The sequence below is a fragment of the Homo sapiens genome, chromosome 17 (assembly GCF_000001405.40).
Source record: "Homo sapiens chromosome 17, GRCh38.p14 Primary Assembly".
In the NCBI taxonomy this organism is placed as follows: Eukaryota; Metazoa; Chordata; class Mammalia; order Primates; family Hominidae; genus Homo; species Homo sapiens.
The window spans coordinates 28,010,436-28,023,250 of NC_000017.11; the positions used below are offsets into that span (position 1 = coordinate 28,010,436).

The 12,815-nt window shown below is 41.0% G+C and overlaps 1 non-coding gene and 1 pseudogene across 1 annotated transcript; one reads left to right on the plus strand and one right to left on the minus strand.

Moving 5' to 3' along the window:
- Window positions 1-8,334: 8,334 nt before the first annotated feature.
- On the plus strand, window positions 8,335-8,472 carry LOC124900402 (uncharacterized; annotated as a pseudogene).
- Window positions 8,473-11,894: 3,422 nt separating this feature from the next.
- On the minus strand, window positions 11,895-12,029 carry LOC124900393 (small nucleolar RNA SNORA70). The gene has a single exon (XR_007065987.1). It is a non-coding gene; the product is annotated as a small nucleolar RNA SNORA70 (small nucleolar RNA).
- Between the last annotated feature and the right edge of the window lie 786 nt (window positions 12,030-12,815).

Genomic DNA, 12,815 nt, shown 5'->3' on the forward strand with positions numbered 1-12,815 from the left:
GACACCAGACTATAGTGTTAAGCCACTGTCTGTGACATCAGAAACTCCAGTAGGACAAAAGGCTCTGATGGCATGATAGGGATTGAGTGTGGGGCATGAAGTTGCTGATTCCAGAATGAATGTGGGAGGTTCCAGAGAATCCTCCACATCTGTGAACCAATGCCTCTCTAAAGTTGTCTTAGAGGCACAGGCTGGTGCTAGGACAGCTGCATTAGAATCATCTGGTGGGCATGTGAAGAACGCAAAGAGCTGGATTCCATTCCCAAAGAGTATAATCCAGTAGCTGATATGTTTTGGATGTTTGTCCCCTCCTAGTCTCATGTTGAAACGTGATTCCCAATGTTCACAGGGCCTAGTGGGAGGTGATTGGATCATGGAGGCAGATCCCTCATAAATGAAGTATCATCCCCTTGGTGATAAGTGAGTTCTCGCTGAGTTCATGTGAGAGCTGGTTGTTTAAAAGAGTGTGACACCTCTTCCCTCTCTCTTTCTTGCTCCTGCTTTCGCCATGCGATGCACCTGCTTCCCCTTTTTCTTCCATCATAATTGGAAGTTTCCTGAGGCCCTCACCAGAAGCAGATTCTGGCAGTGTGCTTCCTGTAAAGCCTGCAGAACCATGAATCAATGAAACCTCTTTTCTTTATAAATTATCCAGCCTCAGATACTCCTTTATAGCTATACAAATGGACTAACACAGCAGGAGTGTAATCAAGCCCAGGAACATGAACATTAAAAAATGTCTAAGTGATTCTGATGCATAGATAGATTTAGGAACCACCACTGCCCTTGGCAACATTTATAATCCTCAGGGTTCCTCCTTCTCCCTTTAGTTGTAACATAATCCCCAGGGATTCAGAGCCAAGACATAGTTCTGAAGGAGGAGCTATAGTTACCATAGAAGTGATCACACATGCGCCATTGCACTCCAGCCTGGGCAACAAGAGTGAAACTCTGTCTCAAAGCAAAAAAAAAAAGTGATCACACAGACTCAGACTGGTTAGAACAGAGTGATTGTCAATCAGAAGCAGTGGTGGCATGTGTCAGTACCAAGGACACTTTCTCAACCTCAGTGCACTCACCTCAGTGGAGAACAACTGCATTAGGAGTGTTTGGTTATCCTAGAAATGAGCTTATTGGGGCATAAGAGATAACTGTTTGCTCAGGGATCAATGTTAATCACTTCTGCATTATTACAGAGAAGCCACTGCTTTCTTCATCATATGGCACATCTTCCAGGAGGACTATCTACAGGAATGTCTCATGTGTTTTGCCCATTACAACTAAAGGGAGTTTGCACTTGGGGGTTCTCGTTAGACTTTTCTGGTTAGACATCTGATGCTTCCTTCTTTGGGTTTTGAGTGGTCTGGGACATGTCAATAGCTTCCTGCACACCAAAGGAGGTCCGAGATCAAATGGCCTTGGGTATAAAAGTACATCCATGTGCTGTGTGGGTGGTGGGAACTATGGTGAACTGCCCAAGAGAGATGCTACTTCTCAGTTTCAGTCTATCCCTGCCATGCAGAAATGCAGGATCAGTATTACCAGAGCTTCCGATATGAGAGATAGAGAAGGAGACAAGGAGAGGGAGGTGGAGAGAGAGAGAGAGGCATAGACAGAGAAGAGAGAGCAGATACTGGGATTTCTAAATATTGGCTCAGATGAAAGTTAAAAAAATATGTGGGCCACACAAAATATTTCTGTAGGCCACATCTGGCTATGTCTGCCAAAGAAATAAGTTCCATTTTGGAAGCTGCAATTCCAAAGCACCATGCTTAGTCACCATGCTATGTTGATTTGGCCACCTCTCAGGGTGAACCTCTTAGTGTGGTCTTTGCTTTTAGGGAGAGAAACTGAGGGAGAAAGGTGGGACAGAACCATTTCTTACTGTCACCAACAGGCTCTGGTAGATTGCTCTAAAGCAACTTACTGACACACTGACAGATTTAAATTTCCACTGCTGAAAACCACTCATATCTTACTGTTGTCCAAACCCAAAGAATCAAATGGCCAACTCAATGCTGTTAGAATTTTAATAGTAATACTGGTTCCTCTTCCTCTTATCTTCCAAATCTCCCATGGAAAAATGATCATCTCCATTGACAAGCACCGCCATCTGCAATTGGAGTAATCTGAAGCTGGCATTGTACTCTGCTTATCTCATCAACCCAGATTCCAAGGAGTTGAGGGATTTGATCATTTATGAAGGGGATTCGACCTGCATTTCTACCCTCTACCACCACAAAGTAAATTGTGAAATCATTCACCCTTTTCTTCACTTCTAAATCCCTGTAGTGTCCATCTTTCCTGTTGCAAAGAAGTAGTAGAGGGGCAGAATCAGTCTGCAAGTGACAAATATTCTTTTTGCCTTGCAGCTCCTACTTCCACCAGTTCTCTTCTTTCCCACTCTCTGGTGGGTGAGAACTCTGGTGGGTAAATGTCTTTCCTGAGAAAGAAAGCCTCAACTAAGTGGGTGGTTCTGAAACAAAAATAGTGGCAAAGACTTGGCTGATGGAGAAGTATCCAAGGCAGTTTTGTGGGATCTTCCTGTCCCTTCAAAAGCAACTGGGCTCTGGATTCATATGTTAAAGGGACAGTTACCTTGGTAAGCATCTCTGTGTGTCAGATTCCTGCCCAGAGCCAGTAGCCCCTTTGAAGTATATGATAGTTATCACAAGGATGGAAATGGAGAAAGGTTTTCAGAATCACAGCAGAGATAATCTAAAATATTCATGCTTGTCCACTCCACCCACCCCAATCCTCTGGTCTGTCAGAATTAGCTTGGGGTAGGATTTTAATCATATAAAGTTCAGAAAATCTCCGTAGATGATTTTACTTCACTTGATTTAGTCCTAATTGAAAGCTACTGAACAGAGAATTATCCAGCCATTTGAGTTACTTTGGGAGTATTGTGGCTACATGGAGTCTATAAATGAGGTGCCCATTAAAAAACACACACACACACACACACCCCATGGGCCTTAAATAAGATGTGGATGGGATTAGACATATGCTTAGTCACCTGAAGGAGACGGGGCAGCTCCTAGGCATAACTGAAGATATTACCAAACCTAAAGAATGTGCCAAATTGAATGGATGGATAGTGCAGAGGAAAGAGAAGGTTGGTCAGTCAAGAGAACATAGACGAAGGGAAGCCACTGAAGCAAGGACTGGTAGTGCCCATCCCTGAGGGAGCCTCAGCAATTAGACCTTAAGTATCATGAACCATTGGCAAAACCATCACTATCACAAGAAGGATGAGTCAGGCCACCCGAGGCTGATGTCAGTAGGCATCAATCAACCTAATATCCCTGGTGCTAATTCCTTGCTTCTTCAAACAACCTTCTGGCCCCCTCTCTTAAAGGAAGAGAAAACACTCGTCTATATTTCTGGTCCCCAAGAAAGCAGTCTTTCATGGTGAATAGCTTTTGATTAATCATGATTTGGCATCCCATAAAGCTTGATTCCAAGTCCCTGCTTGATATGGCCTAAGCTTACTCTTCAACCTCATCTTAAACCACTAATGGTGAAATGATAGAATCTTCTTAAAAGGACTTTTTGTTTGTTTTGTTTTGTTTTGTATTTGTTTTTGTTTTTGTTTTTGAGAGGGAATCTCACTCTGTCTCCCAGGCTGGAGTGCAGTGGAGTAATCTTGGCTCATTGCAACCTCTGCCCCCTAAGCTCAACGGTTCCTCCTACCTCAGTCTCCAAAGTAGCTGGGACCACAGATGCACGCCACCATGCCCAGCTAAGTTTTTATATTTTTGGTAGAGACAAGGTTTCACCATGTTGCCCGGGCTGGTCTCAAACTTCCGAGCTCAAGCAATCCACCCACCTTGGCCTTCCAAAGGTTACAGGTGTGAGCCACCACCCCAGACCTTCAAGGGCTTTTTTTTTTTAAGGTGAAATTCTCATACATAAAATTAACCATTTTAAAGCGAACAATTTAGTGACATGTATCACATTCACAATGTGGGGCAACCACCACCTCTATCTTCCAAAACATTGTCATCACCCCAAAAGGAAATCCCTTAGCCATTAAGCAGTTGCTCCCTATTCTCTCCTGCCCCCAGCCTCTAGCAAACATCAATCTTCATTCTATCTCTTTGGATTTTCCTATTGTGAATATTTCATGTAAATGGAATCATGCAATAGATGACCTTTTGTGTCTGGCTCCTTTCATTTAGCACAATGTTTTCAAGGGTCATCCACATTGTAGTGTTTATCCGTACTTCATTTCTTTTCATGGCTGAATAACATTCCATTGTATGGATATGCCATAATTTGTTTATACATTCATCCATTGATGGATATTTGGGCTGTTTCCACCTTTCAGCCATTGTAAATAGTGTTGTTGTGAACATGGATGTACATGTCTTTGAGTAGCAGACAAATACAGTCCTCATTTATACACTTCTTGGAATTGCTGGGTCATATGATAATTCTGTATTTAACATTTTAAGGAACCAACAAACTGTTTTCCACCATGGCTGAACCATTTTACATTCCCACCAGCGATATAAGAGGGTTCCAATTACTTCACATCCTGATCAACACTTACTATTATCTATCTTTTCTTAATTATAGCCCTCTTAGTAGGTGTCATGCCCTAATAACTAATGATGCTTAGTATTTTTATGTGCTTGTTGGCCATTTGTACATTCTCTTTGGAGAAATGTCTATTCAAGTTTTTTCCCATTTAAAAAAAATAATTATTTATTCTTAGAGCCTGGATCTTGCAATATTACCTGGTCTACACTTGAACTCCTAGGCTGAAGCAATTCTTCTCCTGAGTAGCTGGGGCTACAAGCACATGCGACCCTGCCCTGCACTTTTTGCCAACTTTAAAGTTGGGTTGTTTGTCTTTTTATTGTTGAGTTGTAAGAGTTCTTTATAGTCCAGATAGTAGACCCTTACCAAATATATAATTTACAAATATTTTTGACCATTCTGTAAGTTGTCATTTTACTTTCTAAAACTATCCTTTGAGGCACAAAATTTATTTGTTTATTGCTCATACTTTTGGTGTTCTATGTAAGAATTCATTGCCAAATCCGAGATCATGAAGATTTATCTTTGTTTTCTTCTAAGAGTTCTGTGGTTTTAACTCTTGTATTTATGTCATTAATGCATTTTAAGGTAATTTTTGCTTATGGTATGAAGTAGGTATCCAACTTAATTTTTTTGTATGTGGTTATCCAATTGTCCCAGCACCATTTGTTGAAGAGATTATTCTTTCTATATTGCATGGACTTGGTGTCCTTGTCAAAAATCAGCACCATAAACGTGTGAGTTTATTTCTGGACTTTCAATTCTCTTCTATATCTCTATCCTTATGCCAGTACCATACAGTTTTAATTAGTGTACCTTTGTAGTAAGTTTTGAAATTGGGAAGTATAACTCTTCCAACATTGTTCTTTTCCTTCAATATCATTTTGACTATTTGAGGTCCTTTGCAATTACATTTTAATCTGAGGATTGGCTTTTCCATTTCTGCAAAAAAGTCTTTAAAATTATGATAGGGATTGCATTGAGTATGTAAATCACTTCGGGCTTTACTGCCATCTAAATAATATTAAGTCTCCAACCTATGAACAAGGAATGTCTTTCCGTTTCTATAGGTCTTCCTTAAATTTTTTCAGCAATGCTTTTATAGTTTTCAGTGTACAAGTCTTTCATCACCTTGGTTAAACTTATTCCTGGGCATTATATATCTGGGGAGAATGCTAAAAAGGATCATTCTTACTGGTGTGCAGAGAAGAGTCCTCACAGGAGAAAGGTTAAAAGCAGCAAGATGCATTGTATATTCCTGGTGAGAGATGATGATGCCTTGGGCAATAGGGTAGTCTCAGGAATGGCAAGAAGAGGTTGAATTCAGGATAACTTTGGAAGGTACAGCCAAAAGACAAGATTGACTGAGATATGGGAAAATTCTGAGTCAAGGATCACTTCAAGGTTTTTGACCTAAGTAATTGGTGAATGATGGTGTCATTTACTGAGATGGAGAACACTGGACAAGGCACAAGGGAAAAAAGAACTTAATTTGGACAAATCGAGTTTGAATTGTCTGTTAGAGATGGTTATTGTTTACCACAATTTATAATTGCATATCCATTTGTTTATTTGTTTATTGTTATTATTTATAGTTTCAATGGCTAGAAATGTTTACTTTATTAACTGTTGTGTCCCTCAGTAGACAGCAAACTCCATGAGGGTAAGAACCAAATCTGTCTATTAACTGTTGTATCCTCATGCCTAACACAATGCCTGGCACATAGTAAGTTATCACTAAATATTTTTTAACAAATCAAAATGCAAGGCCAGCCAGACATAGTGGGTGTGTCTGTAGTCCCAGCTACTCAGGAGGCTGAGATGGGAGGATCATCTGAGCCTGGGAGGTCAAGGCTGCCAAGATTATGCCACTGCAGTCCAGCCTGGGCAACAGAGTGAGAACCTGAAAAAAAAAAAAAAGCCAGGCCAGGTCCAGGTGGTTTTTCCTATATTCCTGATTTATAATATTACCTTCAGGTGTACATCCTTGTTCTTTACTTACTACTGCATTTCCAGTACTTTTTATTTTTGTAAGAAGTGAGGTTCCTTTATTCAAAATTTGACAAATCATGAAATGCCTCTCACCCCATCTCCTTACTCCTTACACTTTACCTTTCCATCCATGTAATCTCTGGCACAATGTCATGACTTAACAAATGCCAAGAAATGTAAGAAGAAAAGACCTAGTACTTCTCAATAACAATAGCTAATATGTATTGAGTGCCAATTATGTGTCAGGCACGGTGTAAAATGCTCTGTATCATCTCATCCAATGTTTCTAACAAATGTATCAGCACAAAGCCTGAAGCGTTGTTGCATCTTTTCAGTTTTAGGGTCATATTCTTTGGAATATGAGTTTGTCCGTGTAGCCAAAGGGAACAGTTGAGATGGGTACATTAATTTACCTAAGTGAGTATATATAAATGTCATTTTTTAAAAAGATGCTGGCTACGCCAGCATAAATAAAGCCTTGGAGAATCTTGCAACTGGGCAAATGAGTAAATTTAAGGTATTCATTTCAAAAAAAATCCATCAGGCACAGCCTGGGCAACATGGCGAAAACTGCCTCTACAAAAAATACAAAAATTAACCAGGTGTGGTGGTGCCCACCTGTGGTCCCAGCTATTCGAGAGGCTGAGGTGGGAGAATCAGCTGAGCCCAGAAAGCCAAGGCTGCAGTGAGCTCTGATTAATCACGCCACTGCACTCCAGCCTGGACAACACAGTGAGACTGTCTTAAGAAAAAAAAAATCTAAGCATGGTGGCTCACACCTACAATCCCAGCACTTTGGAAGTCGATATGAGAGAATCGCTTGAGCCCAGGAGTTGGAGGCTGCAGCGAGCTATGATTGCACCACTGCACTCCAGCCTGGGCAACAGAGTAAAACCCTGCCTCAAAAAAAAAAAAAAATCCCAAATTGAGAGACATTCTACAACATACCAGTACCACTTAAAATCTTTAAGGTCATCAAGGACAGGAAAAGTCTGGGAGTGTCACAGATCAGAGGAGGCTAAAGTGACATAACAACTAAATGTAATGTGATATCCTGCCTGGGATCCTGGAACCAAAAAGGGACACTTTTAAAAACAGTGAAATTGGATAGAGTGTGGAGTTTAGTTAATATTAATATACCAGGGTGCATTGGCTCGTGCCTGTAGTACCAGCTACTTGAGAGGTTGAGGCAGGAGAATCGCTTGAGTCCAGGAGTTTGAAGCCATCCTGGGCAACATAGCAAGACCCTGTTTCTGAAAAAAAAAGAAAAGAAAAGAAAAAAAATATATATATATATATATAACAATGTACCAATGTTGGTTCTTTAGTTGTGACAAAAGTACCTCAGTAATGTAAGATGTTAGCAATAGGGGAAACTTTGTAAGCGGTATATGGGAACTCCATACTGTCTTTACAACGTTTTTGTTAATCTAAAACCATTCTAAAATAAAAAGCTTATGAGTAAAAAAGGGTACAGAGATTGGGGTCAGAGCAGAGATGACACATTTCAGATCTGTCATCCCATGCAGTGCCCCCAGTCGGACTTATCTATGTGGCCTCCCTCCAAGTCTATTCATCCTTTAAAGAGGCATATCCAAGATGTTGCCCTCTGCACAGTGCTGCGTATCCAGGTCTCCATAACAGCTCTGGGGAACTTCACTGCTTCAGCGTCATCCCAAGGAGAAACCTTTGGGAGGGAAGCAGACATGGGTGTGATTTCAGACACAAACACTTGAAACCTGGAGTGGAAGTTCAGTCTCTTAGAATTTTTTATTGGCAAGGACCTTAGGTGTTTGTCTCATTTTTGTAGATCAGGACACTGGGAGGCTCCCTTTTCTCCTTAGCCATGGCTGGAGGCCAAGTCCAGCCCTCAAGGATCATTGTCAGGACCAACACAAGCTGGACAGCCTTGTTTTCCTACCTCAGATGGGAAAAAGAAAAGAAACTTGGACCCAGTAAAAATGAGTAATTTATTTAAAGGCCAGTTAGGGCCAGTCATGGTGACTCAAACCTGTAATCCCAGCACTTCGGGAAGCTGAGGTAAGAGGACTGCTTGAGCCCAGAAGTTCAAAACCAGCCTGGGCAACATAGTGAGACCCTGTCTCTACAAAAAATAAAAAATTAGCCAGGTGTGGTGGTACATGCCTGTACTCCTAGCTGCTCAGGAGGCTGAGGCTGGAGGATCGCTTGGAGCCCAAAAGGCCAAGGCTATAGTAAGCCATGGTCATACCACTGCACTCCAGCCTGGGCAGCAGAGTGAGAACCTGTCTCAAAATAAAATAAAACAGGCCAGTTAGTAGCTTCAGACATATTTCTCAACAATGTTAGTTTTTTTCAATGTTAATGAAATATCCTCCCCTGCCTTTTAATGGATTCTGACTCAAAACCCTAATACATAGAACAGATAGGAAGTGAGCTGTTCTGGCTAAGGAAAGAGGTGGGAGCCTCAGTTCTAGCTACATATTTACGTTTTACTACCTTCCAATAGGTTAGTGAAAGGATTCCATAGGGTTCCGAAGAGTTCTATAGGATTTCTATGGAACCCTTGGAAGCAGAGTTTAAAATCTGTATCACTTTAAGGCTGCATATTATTCCAGTATGGGGTTATTCTGTAATTTACATAACCAGTCCCCTATTGCTGGCCACTTTATTCAGTCAAACTTTCAATTTTATGAACATTCATCTCTGCACTTATTTCTATTTTATCATGATATGGAATTTTTGGGTCAAAGGTATTTTAATGCTTTTAAGACATATTAACAAATCACTCTCCAAAATGGCTATAAGAATTTACAGTCCCAGCCGCAGTATATTCATGAGTGGCTGATTTCCCTATAAAAAAATCAACACCGGATTTTAACAGTATTTTTCATTTGGCCAATCTGATACAGAAAAAATGGAATCTAAGTATTGTTCAAATTTGCATGTCTTTGATCACTACTACGGCTAAACTTTTGGGGTGAATTTTACTGGCTATTTAAATATTTTCATTTGTGTTCTTTGCCCATTTCTTTCTATTTGGATTTTTGTTGTTGTTATTGTTTTATAAAATTTCTTCAAAAATTAAGACTAAACCTTTTTATTGTTTGTTTTTTTTGAGACAGGATCTTGCTCTGTCACCCAGGCTGGAGTGTGGTGGTGTCATCATAGCTCACTGCAGCCTTGAACTCCTGGGCTCAAGCCATCCTCCAGCCTTAGCCTCCTTATTAGCTGGTACTACAGGTATGCACCACTACGCATGGCTATTTTTTTTTTTTTTTTAGACATACAGGGTCTCACTTTATTGTCCAGGCTGGTCTCAAACTGGGGCTAGGCTCAAGCGATCCTCCCACCTTGGCCTCCCAAAGTACTGGGGTTACAAGCATGAGCCATAGTGCCCAGCAACTCCTTATCTATAAGTAAAGATTTCTGAGTGTTAAATTTGCCTTTTGTTTATCATATAATTTTTAAATATTTATTTCAAATCTAGCAGTCTTTTTCTTTACAGTTTCTGCTGTAAGCTAATGTTTTTTAAATTATATTGAGAAATGTCTTCCCTACTCCAAACATTTTCTTTTAGTGGTAATTCCTCAGTTGTGTGAGTGTTAAGACTTCTTTAGTAAAAAATACCATAGTACACTGGTTAAGAGTAAAAGCTGTAGGATACAAAGTTTCAGTTAGACAAGAGGAAGGAGTTTTTGAGATCTATTGCACAGCATGGTGACTATAGTTAATAATACTGTGTTGCATGTTTCAAAATTGCTGAGAAAGTAAATTTCAAATGTTCTCACCCCAAAAAAATGATAAGTATATAAGGTGATGGATATGTTAATTAGCTTAATTTAATCATTCCACATCGAATACATATATCAAAACATCACATTGTACTCCATAAATATATATAATTATATTTTGTCAATTAAAAATAAATTTTTAAAAAGAATAAGCTACACCCACACACAAAAGTAAGTCACAGCTATTGGATTAGTTGGTCCTAGATTTGAGTACAAGTTCCCCTGACTTATTAGTCATGAGCCCTTGATCAACTTAAATTCTTTGAACCTGTTTACACATCTGAAAATAGAAATAAAATTAATAGTACCAACCTCATAGAATTGTCATGATGCTCAGATTAGTTAATGCTTATGACATACTTGGTATCAGGTCTGGCAAATAGTAAACAATAATATGAGTTATTACTTTTTTTTTTTTTTGAGATGGAGTCTTGCTCTGTCGCCAGGCTGGAGTGCAGTGGTGCCATCTCAGCTCACTGCAACCTCTGCCTCCCAGGTTCAAGCAATTCCCCTGCCTCAGCCTCCCGAGTAGCTGAGACTACAGGCTTGTGCCACCACGCCCAGCTAATTTTTTGTGTTTTAGTACAGACAGAGTTTCACCATGTTGGCCAGGATGGTCTCAATCTCCTGACCTCATGATCTGCCTGCCTCGGCCTCCCAAAGTGCTGGGATTACAGGCGTACTGAATTCATCTTTATTTATAATGGCATATGATATGATATAGGAATTTGAGTGTTCTTTTTTACCCCAGATCTTTAACCAATTTGTCTTAGCATTTTCTGAATAACTGGTCATTTCATAATTGATTAGAAAATGTCACTGTCATGAAATATACTTATATATACTTTTTTAAAAATAGGTGGACAGGAAGTAGGATTTACTGGTGGGCATCAGGAGGGGGCAGCACAGTGGAAGCCCTCACTAGAGCAGGGCCGGACACTTGTCCAGAGGACCACGACTGGGGATGTACTTGGCCCCACAGCCATGTAGGAGGAGCCACTTCTCAGCCACCGTATCTTCAAATTCATCCACCTTGGGCCCAGCGTGGTGGCTCACACCTGTAATCCCAGCACTTTGGGAGGCCAAGACGGACGGATTCCCTGAGCTCAGAAGTTCGAGACCAGACTGGGCAATATGGTGAAAACCCGTCTCTACTAAAATACAAAAAAAATTAGCTGGGGGTGGCGGCATACACCTGTAGTCCTAGCTATTTGGGAGGCTGAGGCAGGAGAATTGCTTGAACCTGGGAGGTGGAGGTTGCAGTGAGCTGAGATTGCGCCACTGCACTCCAGCCTGGGCAACAGAGCGAGCTCCATCTCAAAAAAAAAAATTAATCCACCTTGAATTTGGTAAAGCACCACTTCTTTGAGATGCGGATCTTCTGGCAGCCAAGTAACTTGAACTTGGCCCTGCATAGGTCCTCAATCACAAGCTGCTTGTTCTGCAGCTTGGTGCGCATGGACATGATGACTTGGCCTATGTGAACCCTGGCCACAGTGCCCTGGGGCTTTCCCAAGGAATCTGTTTGGAGCCTACACTGGGGGTAGTGCAAGGTCAGAGACATGAACATACATTTGAAAGGCCTGTCTCCAAGGTCCCTTAGAGCAACCCATCCAAGAAACAGTCTGCGTACCCTGACAAGGAAGCTGCTGTTTGCAGCCATGGCACACCAGGTCCCTGTGAGGAAAGAAACTCAGTTGGCTTAATTGGCTTCTACAAACTTTTATTTGTTATGGGATTTCTACTCTATTTCATTGATTTGCCTGTTTGCTTTTGCACATTTAGCACACTATTTTACTTTGTAGCATTGTATAGCGTTGTAACATGTTTTCCTACTTAGTTGTAAAAGTACTCCCCTGATATTACTTTTTATATTTTCATGATTGTATTTATTGAAACAACTTCTGTATGGAGCACTGTCATAGCTTAGTGAAGGGAGTACTGGAATTAGAGGACACAGTCACTACTGTGAGTGGGATGTATGTGTGTTTGTGTAGTGGAGCCGTGGGGGAGAGATCTTCCATTTCACCATTCATTCTCATATCAGGCATAGTGTTTGGTTTGGAAATATAGGCTGAATAAGACATGGACTCTGCTCTCAAGAAGTCTTCAGTGTAGGGCAGAGACAAATAAAACAGTGATTTTTAGCACTGGATGATTGTAGAGGGTGATATGGGAGCACAGAGGTGGGTCATCGCAATGAGGAAGTGACAGCTGATTTGAGTTTTGAAGGATACAATTGAGGTGGCAAAGCAGAAAGGAAGTGAAGGTAGAAGGGGGCACAGGAGAAAGGTCCTCTGGGAAGGGGAACAGAATGCGTGAAGGTATATCAATTTGTAGAAAACAACAACCTGTTCGGTGTGGTTGGAGAGGATGTGGGAGGTGGGGGGATGACTGGAGTGTAAAGGTACATACACCCAAAATAACTCCAGGACATCTAAAGGGCAGCTTCACTACCGGAGTTCTAGCTGATGCCCTTTCTTCTCCCTGAAGCTTTCAGCA